The sequence below is a fragment of the Homo sapiens genome, chromosome 20, assembly GCF_000001405.40.
Source record: "Homo sapiens chromosome 20, GRCh38.p14 Primary Assembly".
Classification (NCBI taxonomy): domain Eukaryota; kingdom Metazoa; phylum Chordata; class Mammalia; order Primates; family Hominidae; genus Homo; species Homo sapiens.
Window position 1 is genome coordinate 23,359,815 of NC_000020.11, and position 14,545 is coordinate 23,374,359.

The 14,545-nt window shown below is 46.1% G+C and overlaps 1 protein-coding gene across 16 annotated transcripts, besides 4 other annotated features; it reads left to right on the top strand.

Annotated features, from left to right (window-relative positions):
- Window positions 1-1,312: 1,312 nt before the first annotated feature.
- GZF1 (GDNF inducible zinc finger protein 1) lies at window positions 1,313-13,248 on the top strand. 16 transcript variants are annotated; one of them, XM_024451968.2, is made up of 7 exons: window positions 2,368-3,256; window positions 3,407-3,503; window positions 4,549-5,933; window positions 7,189-7,283; window positions 8,948-9,115; window positions 9,770-9,927; window positions 10,277-13,248. In XM_024451968.2, exons 3-7 carry the CDS (start codon window positions 4,570-4,572, stop codon window positions 10,625-10,627), a joined length of 2,136 nt encoding a protein of 711 aa, XP_024307736.1. In that variant the 5' UTR covers window positions 2,368-3,256; window positions 3,407-3,503; window positions 4,549-4,569; the 3' UTR covers window positions 10,628-13,248. The 16 variants fall into 16 exon arrangements, with proteins under 16 accessions (XP_047296332.1, XP_011527623.1, XP_011527624.1 ...); XM_047440375.1 differs by having other exon boundaries at window positions 10,323-13,248; XM_024451969.2 differs by having other exon boundaries at window positions 2,368-3,036.
- Window positions 1,654-1,743: a silencer, noted in NCBI's record as "silent region_12727". NCBI's record gives its function as "represses an Ori minimal core promoter by ATAC-STARR-seq in GM12878 lymphoblastoid cells {active_cell/tissue: GM12878}" and the evidence as "EXISTENCE:reporter gene assay evidence [ECO:0000049][PMID:35858748]".
- Window positions 1,834-2,093: an enhancer, noted in NCBI's record as "active region_17636". NCBI's record gives its function as "activates an Ori minimal core promoter by ATAC-STARR-seq in GM12878 lymphoblastoid cells {active_cell/tissue: GM12878}" and the evidence as "EXISTENCE:reporter gene assay evidence [ECO:0000049][PMID:35858748]".
- Window positions 2,164-2,653: a silencer, noted in NCBI's record as "silent region_12728". NCBI's record gives its function as "represses an Ori minimal core promoter by ATAC-STARR-seq in GM12878 lymphoblastoid cells {active_cell/tissue: GM12878}" and the evidence as "EXISTENCE:reporter gene assay evidence [ECO:0000049][PMID:35858748]".
- Window positions 3,908-3,967: an enhancer, noted in NCBI's record as "active region_17637". NCBI's record gives its function as "activates an Ori minimal core promoter by ATAC-STARR-seq in GM12878 lymphoblastoid cells {active_cell/tissue: GM12878}" and the evidence as "EXISTENCE:reporter gene assay evidence [ECO:0000049][PMID:35858748]".

Here is a 14,545-nt window from a genome sequence, read left to right on the forward strand (position 1 = left end):
TGCCTCAGCCTCCTGAGCATCTGGGATTACAAGTGCCTGTCACCACTCCCGGCTAATTTGGTTTTGTTTTTTTGAGACAGAGTTTTCCTCTGTTGCCCAGGCTGGAATGCAGTGGTGCAATCTCCGCTCACTGCAACCTCTGCCTCCCATGTTCAAGCGATTCTCCTGCCTCAGTCTCCTGAATAGCTGGGATTAAAGGCATGTACCACCTCGCCCAGCTAATTTTTGTATTATTAGCAGGGAAAGGGTTTCACCATGTTGTCCAGGCTGGTCTTGAACTCCTGACCTCAGGTGATCCGCCCACTTCAGCCTCCCAAAGTGCTAGAATTACAGGTGTGAGCCACCGCACCTGGCCTAATTTTTGTATTTTAGCAGAGACGGGGTTTCACCATGTTGGCCAGGCTGGTCTTCAACTCCTGACCTCAAGTGATCGGCCCGCCTCGGCCTCCCAAAGTGCTGGGATTACAGGCGTGAGCCACCGTGCCTGACCACCTTTTTGTAATGCAAAACAAAATCATAAAACACGATTCTGGGCCTGCTGGAGCCATGGGTGAAAACTGCGTTCATTCCAATTTCTTCAAATCATGGAATGCAAATATAGAGAGTCGGCCTAAGAAAGATTTCTGTCACTCATTCATTCTTCAAATATTTATTGAGCACCTACTATGTGTGGGAAGCTGGCTCCTGTTCAGGAAATATAATTAAAAGTACAATCTCCCAACCCTCTTCAGAAAGGTAGTGGAGAAAGAAAACACTTTGTAATTGAATAAGCATTAAACTAGAATGTGATACCCATCACAGGCAATCCATTAAGAGACTGCAAAGACAGAACGAAATCTCACTCTTTTGTGCAGCCAAGCAATCTATTACACACATTTTCAAGATAAACAATAACTAGCTCTCAAGGGAACTTGGCAGCATTTTTCATCACACACAGTTCATCTAACCTGATATTTGGGATGATCCTCTGTGTTAGCCAATTGGCTTTATCTAGAGGAAAAAGAAACTTGTATCTTTATGATATGAGATAATTTTGTAAGTTGGAGCAAAGGGCCCACTGAAGTTAGGCTCCTACTCCCCCATTAAAACTGGGAGACAGGGGCATTAACTCCCTTGATACTTAAAGAGATGGCTCCTAGGTCCTAGAAAAAGACATATCTAGGTTATAAAGCGCACAAAAAGGCCTAACTAGTCTTCAAAAGGATTTATATATTTCAAAGAGAGGAAAAAGTACTTACACTAATTACCAATTTTCTAAAAGTAAATGTTCGAAGAAAAAGGGAGGGAAATCTCATATTTTCAACAGGAAGTAGTAAACCTTATTTTAAATTTGTATTTGTCCTGACAGTCCCCAAACATTACAAACTCAACGTGTCGGTAAGACAAGGCTGAGTTAACTGCTGGCCACAGTAAGGGACAGCATGACCTGGCAAAGCTTTACCAATGGCTGGGAGCAAAAGGCAAGGTCAGTTTATTGAGAACTGGAAGTCTGACTCAAGGAAGGTGTTTCAAAGCGGGCTTTAGTTAGTATTGAGCAAGAATTGGTGGAAACAGCAAGATTTCGAGGAGTCAGCGAATCTTAGGGAATCAATTGTGCTTTCCCCGAAGAGTGGATGGGTCTCTGGGGAAGTTCTGTAGTGAACAAAGCTTTCGCCCGAATGGGAACTCCTGGAAATAAAGCCCTGCAGTAAAGACGGCAGGGTGCGGTCCCGGCTCCTGGCGCGCCGAGCCCCCCAGCAGGGCGGGGGCACCGCGGAAGAAGCGCCCCAGAGGAGAGCGCCGCGCCGAGCCCCGCCTGGCGCCAGTTCTCCAGCGCCCGTGGAGGCATCTGCGCCCCTAGTAGCCAAGGTGAGTACCAGCTCCAAGCCCGGCTTTCCGCGAGGTCCCTCGCGTGGCCACCGTGCCCTAAGGGTGCGCTCGGCCTCGGGGACGTGAGCAGCTCTTAGTGGGAAGCCAGCTGCAGGCCCTGACCGCAGGCTGCTGGGGCCCGGAAGCGCTGGCGCCTTGCGGCCAGAAGCCCGGAATGGACGCGAAAGTGACCACGCGAATCTGACGCTCACGTGACTTTTCGCGACTGGCCCCGCCCCCCTGTGGCGTGCCGCAGCGCAGACGTCGCTGTCTCCTGCGCAGGCGCAGGCCTTGGCTCGCGGCGGGTGACGCAATGCGGCGGGTGACGCAATCCGGCGTCGCCAGTCAGTCGCGCGGCCAGATCAGGTAACTGCCCGAACCGCTCCGCCGCCCGACGTGTGGCTCAGCCCCTTCCTCAGCCCCGCCAGGGGCGGGGCCGGCCGCGGGAGGGGAGGGGCCTGCAGCGACCAATCGGCGGTGCCCGCGCAGGGTGCTACGCCACGCCCAGCCGGGCCGGCCGTTCCTACCGGCCTGGTCCAGCGGACAGCGGCTGCAGCGGGGGCGCCGGCTGGGAGGTGAGTGCGCGGCCCGTAGGCCTGGCTCCGGCCCCTCGCCGCCCGCCGCCGCCTCTTTGTCCGCGCGCCCCGGCTGCTCTGTGGACCTGCGCGTCTCGGGGATGCGGGAGCGGGGGCAGGGGGCGGCCCGAGGGCCTGATCCACGCGGCCCCGGATGCCCGCGTCGGGAGGCGGCGCGTCGGGCCGAGGAGGGGCTTCTCTGTGGCTGCAGTAGTTTGTTCTCTGGGTCGTCTTTGGAGTGGCCGAGCGGCGTCCGGGCGCTGGGGCGGCCAAGTGGCGCGGGAAGGGTGGGAGGTGCCGTGAGGGCGGCGAGGACAGCGGCGGATTTAAGCCCCACTGGAAACCCCGGCCCTTGTGGCCGTGGACTGGGCTGCGGGTAGCAGCGTCTCCTGGAAGGGCTCTGGCCCCGTGAGCCTCGGGGATTCAGGGGCCGCCGACGTTGGTGCAGATGCCGGGCGCACTGGGAGGCGGCCGGAATGCCAATGAGATTCGGCGGATACGCAGCTGTCACCGGCCGCAGACTGCCCTGTCGCCACCTCCAGTGCCTGCACTCCAGTAGCCAAGCAACATAGGAAATCGCGCTCAGAACCCACTTTGTTGATTGAGAAATCAGGTCTCCTCGAGGGCCCTGTTGGCAGAGGTCTGGGGAAGTCAGGGCATCAGGCTGAGAGAGCCCTCTGCAGTCTTGTTTCCCCAGGCTGGGGCTGGGACCACTGAAACCCCAGTGGCTCTATAAGAGCCCCACTCTTATAGATCCCTTCCTTAGGCTTTGTCAGTGTTCTCACAGTTTTACTGGGGCGTCTCCTTCAGGCGACATTGATCAAGCCTCATAGGTACCTGTTTACAGCGGAACTCCCAGAGGGCAGTCTTTTCCATGTTTGAGGGACTGCTAGTTGTGGGGAGCGGTCTCATTGATGAGACTGGAGAAGGGGAGAGGGGTGGGACTAGTTTATCAGGGAAGATGATGACAACTTTTTTTCTAGACACGTTGAATCCGAGGTGACATCTGTGGTCTGGCCGAAGGAGGCTAGAAGGAAGGCATGTGCTTTGGATGGATGGAAACAGGAATCAAAGAGGAAGGTAGATTCAGGAGCTGAAGGGCAGGGAGAAAACACATTCAGGGAGTTTGTGGCAAAGCAGCAGAAATGACGATGGGGTGACGGTATCTGGAGGCCTTAGGTGGGGTTGGTGAAATTTGCATGCCCGCTGCAGTGGAAAGATTTAGGGGCTAAAGATAGCCCTTTGCCTTTGGCAAGGCTGAGGGGAAGAGTGTGTTGAGTAGTCTGAGTTGAATCCGGGCACCAGGCCCTGGCTCATGTCCCAACCAGCCATTGACTGTTACCTTGATAGGTCCTCATCTATGAAATGGGGATCACTGTAGCACCTTGGCCTATGTGTGGGAAACCAATAAACTAGCCAACAAGTTTCAGGCTCATGGAACCCTGGTAACAGCCGGTCAGCCTTCTTCAGAGGAGGAAATGGGTTCAGAGAAGTTGCTTGCTCAAAGTAGCACAGCTTGTAAAAGCTGTGGAACTTAACATTATTTCAGTAGAGTAACAATAATTCAAATTCTGAGGAGTTTAGGATGTTGGGAATGGGCGATGAATTGTGAACTACTTTTCCAAGAAGTTTTCCTCATGGAAAGTAGTTATTTAGTTGGTTCTTTTCAAAGGCAGAAATGATTCCCTGAGGTTTTGGATTTGCTCCCAGATGGTGGTGGCTATGTGTTTTAATTATCTGGTTTCCTGATCAGAGAACTAGACATTATTGTTGCCATGAATTCTTTTACAGTTTTGGGGACTATGTAAGCAAATTAGACAGTGACCTTGGTGAGCAAATTACTGTGTTAATGTATTTCACTAATCACAACTTCCATCATTTGTTTATCACTGGAGGAAACCTTAGAATACACTATTTTTCATGCCAATTTATTACCTTAGGAAAATGCATGAGGAACCTCACTTTAGAAAACTGCTAAGAAGTAAAATGTCATTCGAATCTTTACCTGAGTAAAGCTAGGTTGTTAATGAGTCTATATCCTCTCAAGTACTGAAGGAATCCTCATAAATTTTAGTCCTTTTGCATCAGTGGTTGCTCATGCATAATTCTTGTTTCTTTTTCAAAGCTGTTTTTGGAAGGAAGAAAGATGGAAAGCGGTGCAGTTCTGCTGGAATCCAAATCCTCCCCATTTAACCTACTGCATGAGATGCATGAGCTTCGCCTCCTGGGTCACCTGTGTGACGTGACAGTCAGCGTGGAGTATCAGGGTGTCCGCAAAGACTTCATGGCCCACAAGGCAGTGCTGGCTGCCACCAGCAAGTTTTTTAAGGAAGTGTTCCTTAATGAGAAGAGTGTGGATGGTACTAGGACTAATGTCTACTTAAATGAAGTGCAGGTTGCTGACTTTGCTTCATTTCTTGAGTTTGTCTACACTGCAAAGGTACAGGTGGAAGAAGATCGGGTGCAGCGAATGCTGGAAGTGGCTGAAAAGCTGAAATGTTTGGATTTATCAGAAACTTGTTTTCAATTAAAGAAACAGATGTTAGAGTCAGTACTTTTGGAGTTGCAAAATTTCTCAGAGTCTCAGGAGGTGGAGGTGAGCAGTGGCTCCCAAGTTAGTGCTGCTCCTGCCCCCAGGGCAAGTGTGGCCACCGATGGCCCTCACCCCAGTGGTCTCACGGATTCCTTGGACTACCCAGGAGAGAGAGCCAGCAATGGCATGTCTTCAGATTTGCCACCGAAGAAGTCCAAGGACAAACTAGACAAGAAGAAAGAGGTAGTTAAACCTCCCTACCCTAAAATCAGGAGAGCTAGTGGAAGGCTGGCTGGGAGGAAGGTCTTTGTGGAGATCCCTAAAAAGAAATATACGAGAAGACTCCGAGAGCAGCAGAAAACTGCTGAGGGTGATGTGGGGGACTACAGGTGTCCCCAGGACCAAAGCCCGGACAGGGTGGGCACGGAGATGGAGCAGGTTTCCAAAAATGAGGGTTGCCAGGCAGGTGCTGAGTTGGAGGAATTGTCAAAGAAAGCAGGGCCGGAGGAGGAAGAGGAGGAGGAGGAGGAGGACGAAGAAGGGGAGAAGAAGAAGAGCAACTTTAAGTGCAGCATTTGCGAGAAGGCGTTTCTGTATGAGAAGAGCTTCCTGAAGCACAGCAAGCACCGCCACGGCGTGGCCACCGAGGTGGTGTACCGCTGCGACACCTGCGGCCAGACCTTCGCCAACCGCTGCAACCTGAAGAGCCACCAGCGCCACGTGCACAGCAGCGAGCGCCATTTCCCATGCGAGCTGTGCGGGAAGAAGTTCAAGCGCAAGAAGGACGTGAAGCGGCACGTGCTGCAGGTGCATGAGGGCGGCGGCGAGCGGCACCGCTGCGGCCAGTGCGGCAAGGGCCTGAGTTCCAAGACAGCGCTGCGGCTGCACGAGCGCACACACACGGGAGACCGGCCCTACGGCTGCACCGAGTGCGGCGCCAGGTTCTCGCAGCCGTCCGCGCTCAAGACGCACATGAGGTACGCGGGGAGCCGTCCGGAGGGGTCCCTGCGCACTGGAAGGGTGTGTCAAGCACTGAGGTCGTCCTGGGATTTGATGTCTCACTGCTTAATTTCTCCGCTCCAAACCTGGGGGCTTATTTCGAGACAGCGTTTAGTTCTCTGTCAAGGTACAGGGGCTGCGAGTGATGGCTCTGCTCCCTTGTTCTGAGACCCCTGGGGCGCCCCTGCTGGCCGGGACGTCCCTCTGGTGGGACCGCGACAGCGGCCGCGGGCTCGCCCCACCGTGCTGGAGGAAGAGTTGGGCCTCGTTACCTTTATTTCTCCTTTCCTGACTCTTCGTTTAGATCTTGGGGTTCTGTGACCATCCGGGTCCCACAGTCTCAGTAGAGACCTCAGTGAGATGCCATTTCAGGCTTTAGGACTCGTCTCTGGTCTTTTGGTTCTCAGGCTTGGAAGGAGTGCCATCTAGGCAGTCTGCACTCCAGAATCAGGACAGACAGTGCTTTCTGTTTCTTAATATGTTTCTGAGCTGCAGGTGTGTGGTGATGTTTTTAAATAAGTTTTCTTATAGTTCTTAGTATATTTATTCTTGAAATCCCAACAAGCAGTTGTTTTCTCTTCTCTTCTAGATCTGCCCTCAAACCTAGGTCAGTCTTGGGTTAGCAGCATGGTGTTCATTTTTTACTCTATATAATAAGTTAAAAATACTTGGTTTAGGAAGTGCTCAGTAAATTATGTTTGATTGCTACTTCATACTAGTTGTGACATTAAAATGCTTATGCATTTTAAAAATGCCACCTTCGGCAATTTGAGAACAGTTCTCCTTTCTCTACTGGTGATGTCATATTAGGAAATGAGAGTAACATTTTTGATCATGTGACACTTAATCAGCAGTAGTTCCTAAGGTGTTTGTGGCTGATTATTCTGTATGAGACAGCTTTACAAATATCAGATTGTGGTCTTTAGTGTTTAAAAAAATCTGCAAAGGCCTGGTCTCTACCTGCACATGCCTTATAGCATCAGCAGTAGGGCTTGTGATCAGGTGTAGATGAACATTCCAGTCAGTGATTTATGGAAAATGTGTGGATCCATTGACCTTGTGCAGAAACTCAGTTTATTTTGGGATGGAGATTATGGGCTCTTGACCTGTCACTACAGTCATTCTCATTAGGTCTCTTGGAGTAAACGATTTTTGCAGGATAGAGTGGAAATTGTATTGCAAAGTGAGCTTTGAAATACATCCTAAGTTATCATCTGAATGTTGTACTTTCAGAATTCATACAGGGGAAAAACCTTTTGTCTGTGATGAATGTGGTGCAAGATTCACTCAGAACCACATGCTGATTTATCATAAAAGGTGTCACACAGGTAAATACTCATGCTGTTGTGATTGAATGTCTTTCCTAGATCTAGAAGGAAATGCAATTGATTAATTTTGAAGTTGGCATCTACCAAGGTGGTGCAGGTTAAAGCCATGATATAGCTTTTCCATCTAGTAAGTGAGCAAAATGAATAAACATACACCCATTGCCTTGTTGCTAGTGTGCACATGGCTGTGGCTTTTATACCACCAGGCCATAGGATCTGGCATGCAGGTCTTAGGTATCAAGAGATATAAAATAGTTCTTTTGTAACCGAAATTTTTTTTTCTAAGACTCTGTCCTAAAGAAATTGTCCAACATATGGGAAGAGCTGTATGCTATTATCCCCCTTCTTGCTATTTTTAACTAAGAATGGGAAACAGCCTGATTGTCCAACTACAAGGAAGTGCTCTAGTCAACTCTGGTAAATCTATACCCTGGCTTATGACCCGGCTATTCAGAGTAAGGGCTCTGAATGACATGAAAAAGTCTGTGCTTGGATGTTCAACTTTAAAATGCACAATTAAGCATACAGTTAACCTCAATTGTATTGAAAACCTGCACATAAAAGACCAGAAGAAAATAAGTTGTTATATGATACATTAAGGTAGTAGGATTATCTCATTTCTGTTTTCCAAAGTCTTTATGATTTATTAATTATGTGACAGATAAAACTTAAGTTGGCTTTATTCTGCTTCAGCACAGTAACCCTGAGGTTTAGAATCTTGTGGAAGATACAGAAGCATACAGCACTGAAGTGTTCCAATTCTTCTCAGTTTCTTCTTTGCTTGCATTTTTTATTCTTACCTGTAAACACTGGCTTACAAGCCTCAAGTTCAAATGCATGTGAGACAGAGATGACATGTCTCTGACTCATTAGACACCACATCTGTGTGATTAGACACCAGTTCTGCTCATTCTGAAGTCATAATTCATGTCATTGAATGAAAATCTCATTTAATGTCATGAAATTAGCATTTAATGACATGCATTATGACTACAGAATGAGTAGAATTGTTTAAAGAAAGCTTGGGATTGGGGACAAGGTCAGGTTATAATGAAGGATTAAGTTAGAATTGGTCCTTTGATAATATTAACATGGTAAGATTTTATTAAAGTCACTATTTTTATTTTGATGTCTGTGAAATCGGGCACAGCTAATAATTTGGTAAGTCTGATTTGTGGGATTAAACTACAAAAAGTGAGATATTTAAAACTCTTGTCCTACAATTCAATCAAGTTGATTGGAGTTGCTACTCTAGAATAGTGATATATATCCATTGTCAACTTCCCCTTTATTCTGATAAAGATCCATAGAAGTGTTCCTTTGAAAATAATCCAGCAGTTCCTCCAAACAGAAGTTGTGAAATTATTTTCTTGTTTGGAATGAGTAAATTTCTAAAATGTGAGCCAGCTGAACAAACAATACCTCTTTGATTCTAGTCAAATGGAATTTTTCTTGCAATTTCCAAGGATATTTTACACCAACTTTCAGTAAGTAGCAAGCATCTTACATGAATATATATTTTATGATAGTTTTTACTGGAAAATGTAACATGCTGCCTACCAAGGCACTTTTGAGTTCACGTGGGTTTTAACAGTGGAGACCTACTGTTCCATGTGTTTTTAATGCCTGTATTGTTTATGACTTTATTTCATTTTCTCATGTAGGTGAAAGACCTTTTATGTGTGAAACATGTGGCAAGAGTTTTGCTTCTAAGGAGTACTTAAAACACCACAATAGAATCCATACTGGATCCAAACCCTTTAAATGTGAAGTATGTTTCAGGACTTTTGCCCAGCGGAATTCACTGTACCAGCATATTAAAGTCCACACAGGTATGGTTGGAATGTCCCAGGGAAGGGAGTTTAGTTTGGCCAAAAAAAAAATTCTAAAGCTTGTAGATTTACCAGTAAATTACTTGGAACTAAGCTTTTGAAGAAAACTGGCCAAACTTTGTATGTCATAATAGCATTTCTTTAGAGATTGTTTCTAACTCTGAGAAACTGAAAAGTGGGAGCACTTATGTGTGTAAACGGGAGAAGACTAAGTCCCTTTGCTACATGGAGTTTTTACTGAAAAGGACAGACAGCTTAGTCATGGTGTGAATGTAGGAAGTGGATGTGGATGTGTGGACATAGGGATAATGATCTGTACATGTTAGTAAATGCACATGCACACATGCATATTCAGTTGTTAGGGGTCTTGTAATTTTATACTCCATTACCATGGAAAACAGGTGTCATTCCTATAGTTATAATACCTGCTGCAGGCACATGTCCTGGCCCCTTTTTGGTGTAGGCCATAAATTCTTGGTATTATAGAGATAGTGGATTTGTAGCCCTTAAGTTGTTCCCAACATAACCTTCCTTATGTTGGATGCTGAGGCTTCCCAGTGGTTTGCAACAGCATCATTCACTCAAGTGTGTATTCAGAATTAAGCACAGTAGGCCAAAGGGACCCACCAGCAGTCTCCTCTCTCCCTGCCTCAGGGGAGCGTCCCTACTGCTGTGACCAGTGCGGCAAGCAGTTCACCCAGCTCAACGCCCTCCAGCGCCACCGCCGCATCCACACAGGGGAGAGGCCATTCATGTGCAATGCGTGCGGACGGACATTCACCGACAAGTCCACTCTTCGGCGGCACACCTCAGTAAGCAGTGGGTTGGCTTATTTGAGAAACAAGCTGCTGCCCTTAGATGCACGGAAAGAGAAATACCTACCACCATTCTCCAAGGTGGTTAGAGGTCGAGACAACAGGTACTTTCTCCTTGGGTTGTCTCTGCAGTGGAACGCTCACGGAATGAATGAAGTGGAACACCAAGCCCCAAGGCCCAGGGAAAGCACCATCCACGATGACTACTCTGTAACAGTGAGGGTGGTGGCAGGCGGGTACTTATTAGTGAAAGTTGAAAATTGAAGTTGTAGAGGGACTATTGTTTTAAAAGATGCACTTGTCCAGAGACACATTCAGTGACCTTTGTTTTGTGTTTAACTTATAGATACACGATAAGAATACTCCATGGAAGTCTTTCCTTGTCATTGTAGATGGCTCGCCCAAGAACGATGACGGACACAAGACTGAACAGCCTGACGAAGAGTATGTGTCATCCAAGCTTTCGGATAAATTGCTGTCTTTTGCAGAAAATGGCCATTTCCACAACCTGGCTGCAGTCCAAGACACTGTACCTACCATGCAGGAGAACAGTTCTGCTGACACAGCCTGCAAGGCAGATGACTCCGTGGTGTCCCAGGACACCCTCCTGGCCACCACCATCAGTGAGCTTAGCGAGCTGACCCCACAGACAGACTCGATGCCCACACAGCTTCACTCTTTGAGCAACATGGAATAAGAGCTTCAAGCAGTTCCCATCCTGTTAGTCTGCGTGTGTGGTAGCTGAACTCAAGATGATGTGGGGCTAAGAAAAATAATTGTCCATGTGCAAAGATGTGGGCAAGAATGGCCTCTGCAGATTTTCCTGAACTTCTGCTAACTTGCACGGCTTTATCACAGCATTTTTAAAGCTTTCCCTCAAAAATCCTGATCTGCATGATCTCAGCTACTTTATTGACAAAAAGGCAGTGAACATAACCTCACTTAATTCTGGTGTAGGGTGTATGTGCTAATCGTTCTAATTCTTGATTACCTAGTTTATAGATAACTGCTGGTCTTAATTGCAGAGTACAGAGAACTGAACCAGCTCCTGATATTGTAGTTAGCAGTCTTCCTGGCTTCTCACTCTGCCTTATATTTCCATGTGGGTTTACTTCTCTCATAACTACTTTCAAGGTATTTTTCTTCCAAGCTGAAATAAAACTGGGGCCACATATTTTCAGTCATTTCTTCCCTGTTGAATTGAAGCAAATCAGATTTTCTGTGGGGACCCTCAAATGCAACTGAAGAAATAGATTGTTGCATTCATTCCTCCCCACCCCCCATTTGTAGGCAGTAAACAAAGTATGACTGACAGATTGAACACCTGCAAAACTGCTAGCGTAATCTCAGCACATACGCAGCTAGGAAGTTTGTCATAAAATCAACTTAGAAATGAGATGAGGCTGTTCAGTTTGTCTTAAAAAAATCAGATTAGGTAAAAGCTGTCCTACCAAAGAGTCTAGCAAAACAATATAGTATTTTTTTGCAGAGGCATGAAAAATTAAGACGCTTTAGAGTACTTGAAAGTTGTGTAGTCATTTTATTTGCAAAATGAGGTGACTGTGGCAAATTATAGAACACAGAGTATTATTACTTTTGCCAGGTTTTTCTGACTTGATTTCTGTAATTTCCAGAAACCCAGACTTCTCATTTCCACACCTAGAGATGGAAACAGGCAAGTAACTGACATGTCTATTTCCTTGGGAGCATGTGAGAACATAGCAGTAGGGACCAAAAGTCTCAGCACACTTACCTCCGATTATGCCTTAAAGAGTTGATTGTGAAGAACCAGTAACTTTGTCCCAAATGCTTCTTTGGCTGTTTCATGCAGGACTTAATTATTGCTTTTAAAAATTCACAATGAAAAGACGATTCTGCTGTATTTGTTAAACGTTGACATTTGGTTCTAGGGCCTTGAGTATGTGCCACGTGCTTGTGAAATGCTATGATTCACATGTAACATTTAAACATTAATTTAAAAAGGGAACCTTGGAGAATTCTTTTGTTCACTAGTTCCTTTTTTCTCTACATTTTTAATTTATTAAACTTGCTGTGAAAACACTTTGATTTTCTAAGAGGAAGGTACTTTAAGTTCCAGAATGAACATGTAGCTGCACTATGCCAGAAATTAATGAGGGAAGACTTTCTTCCTAAGTGCTTATGTTTTAACTTATGTTAGTGAAACCACTACAAGGTGTTTCAGGCGCTGATAACATGCTTCACACCTGCCCTTGGAGGTCACAGTACTAATTTACTTCAAATTTAGTTATGACAGTGTCACTGTATCCTAGTTATGTTTACAGCACAAATAAATAATGACTGTCATACATCCAGAGGAGACCGAACCTGCCCAGCTGATGTACTGTTTTATGGAATAAAGTCACTTGATCAGAAGGAATTGAAACAATAGATCATTTTGTTACCTACTGGAGGGATTTTTGTCTTGAATTTGTTTCCTTAGAAATTCTACAAAAAAATGTTGTTAATAAATGTCTGCTTTGTAAAAGCAGTTTTGCAATTTTTTAAAGATCTATTTCTGTTATAATTTAGGTTCTGCAGAAATATGATTCTTAATTGAAACATATAATTTGCTTAATTACGTGAATAATGAAATGTAAAATCCGGGTCCATAAGCCTTTATTTCATACAGTCCTAGGATTAAGCTGTTTAACTGCTTGGATCCCAGTTGGTCTCTGGCAGTGGGATCCTGGAGAGGAGAAATCCTGGCCTCTGCTCATGCGCAGGCCACAACCGGGCTGGAAGTGCGGTTGAGCTCTCTGCCACTTTCTTCAATGTAAAAAGTAGGCATCAAAGATACGACTTCTACTATATACATTTCTCTGTCCCTGAGAACAGAGAAACGTAACCCTGTAGGGGACTGGTTACAGAGGACCTCCTGGAGCATCTGCCCCATTCCTCCAAGTCCAAGCACAGCCATGCTGAGTGGAAGCGAGGCCACCATCTGAGTGGATTGGTCCCAAGTGTGTAATGAGGAAAGTGGCCAGGTGCCGGCACAGTGCCTCTCCCAGAGCCTCAAGAAGGGCCATTTAGGAGCTTGCTTCAACCATTTTCCAACCATTTTCTGTGAAATGCTGTCAGCCCAAACTCCAAAGGGATGTGCAGCCTTTCGTTTTACCAAATTCTTTGCTGTCGTTTGGAAAAAATGGGCCATGTGGTGGAGACCTTTATTTAAGGTGATTTTTACAGAAATGTGATTTTGCTGTAGGTGATTATCCAAACAAGTAAATTTGAGTGTATAATTTAATTTTTAACCTGTTAAATAAACCTTGTCCCTCCAAGGAGTTCATTTTTGGGAAACAAGATGGGTACTTGTCAATTTAACCAAATGTCATGATATTCATGTACTCAGGAGTAACAATATTTCATTTGATGTGACTGAGAAAGGCACACAGGTCAGAGGATCATCTAGCACAGCAGTCCCCAACCTTTTTGGCACCAGGGACCACTTTTGTGGAAGACAATTTTCCCACAGGTGGGGGGACAGAATGGTTTCAGGATGATTCAAGCGCATTGCATTTATTGTGCACTTTCTATTATTATTGCATTGTAATATACAATGAAGTAATTATACAATGCACCATAATGTATAGTGGGAGCCCTGAGCTTGTTTTCCTGCAACTTGACAGTCCCATCTGGGGGTGATGGAAGACAGCAACAGATCATTAGGCATTAGATTCTCATAAAAAGCGTACAACCTAGATCCCGTGCACGCGCAGTTCAATAGGGTTTGCACTCCTATGAGACTCTAATGACACTGCTGATCTGACAGGGTGCACAGCTCAGGTGGTAATGTGAGCCACGGGGAGTGACTGCAAATACAGATGAAGCTTCACTGCCTGCAGCTCACCTCCTGCCGTAAGGCCCAGTTTCTAACGGGTTGGGGACCCCTGATCTATCACATCATGCTAAATGAGACTCAGAAAATCATCTGCATACCTTTGGCAATCCGTACGTGGACTCTTAACTAAGGCTGACAAAACTAAGCTTTTAAACTACCATGGTGGCATCTTCATTAGGAAATTGATTCTGAGAAGAGCCACTTGATTTAGGCTTTGAATGATCAACAACTCAGAATGCCTAGATGAGGACAGCTTGTTCTACCATTTAAAACATTTTGCTTTGACTTACCTGAAGTGTTGTGAATATACTTTAGGACCTGAAATCAAGGCTCTATGATAGGATGGTAGGATGAGCCGGTCTGCACTACCCGCCATGGGTCCTCTTCCTCATCAGAACTTCAGGCCCCAGTGGTCAGTGGGACTGACCCTTCCCCAGGGGCATCTCCTCTCCCTGTGCAGATATTTTGCAAAATTAAAATAAATGCCCACACTGACCAGATAGTTGAGTGGTACTTTCTTGGGGTAGGAGAGTGTCAGGCTTAGGGGTGCCTCACCTCCCCACCAGTCTTCCAGCAACCATGCCTTCCTCAACTTTGCAAGTAACTGTAGACCCTAAAGGATTCAAGGAAGGGATGAGAATGTGGGGTCTGCAGGGTTATCATGTACTTTAGTGGACTGCATCAACAGAAGTTACCAGGGTTTCCTTCTAAACCCTCAGTCTGCAAAACCATTACGGTGCCCTGGAATTCCCAACA

Coding starts and splice junctions, on each gene's coding strand:
- GZF1 (XM_011529321.4), top strand. CDS start 4,570: ATGGAAAGCGGTGCAGTTCTGCTGGAATCCAAATCCTCCCCATTTAAC. Junction 5,934..7,188: donor GCGCTCAAGACGCACATGAG/GTACGCGGGGAG, acceptor TTGTACTTTCAG/AATTCATACAGGGGAAAAAC. Junction 7,284..8,947: donor TCATAAAAGGTGTCACACAG/GTAAATACTCAT, acceptor TTTCTCATGTAG/GTGAAAGACCTTTTATGTGT.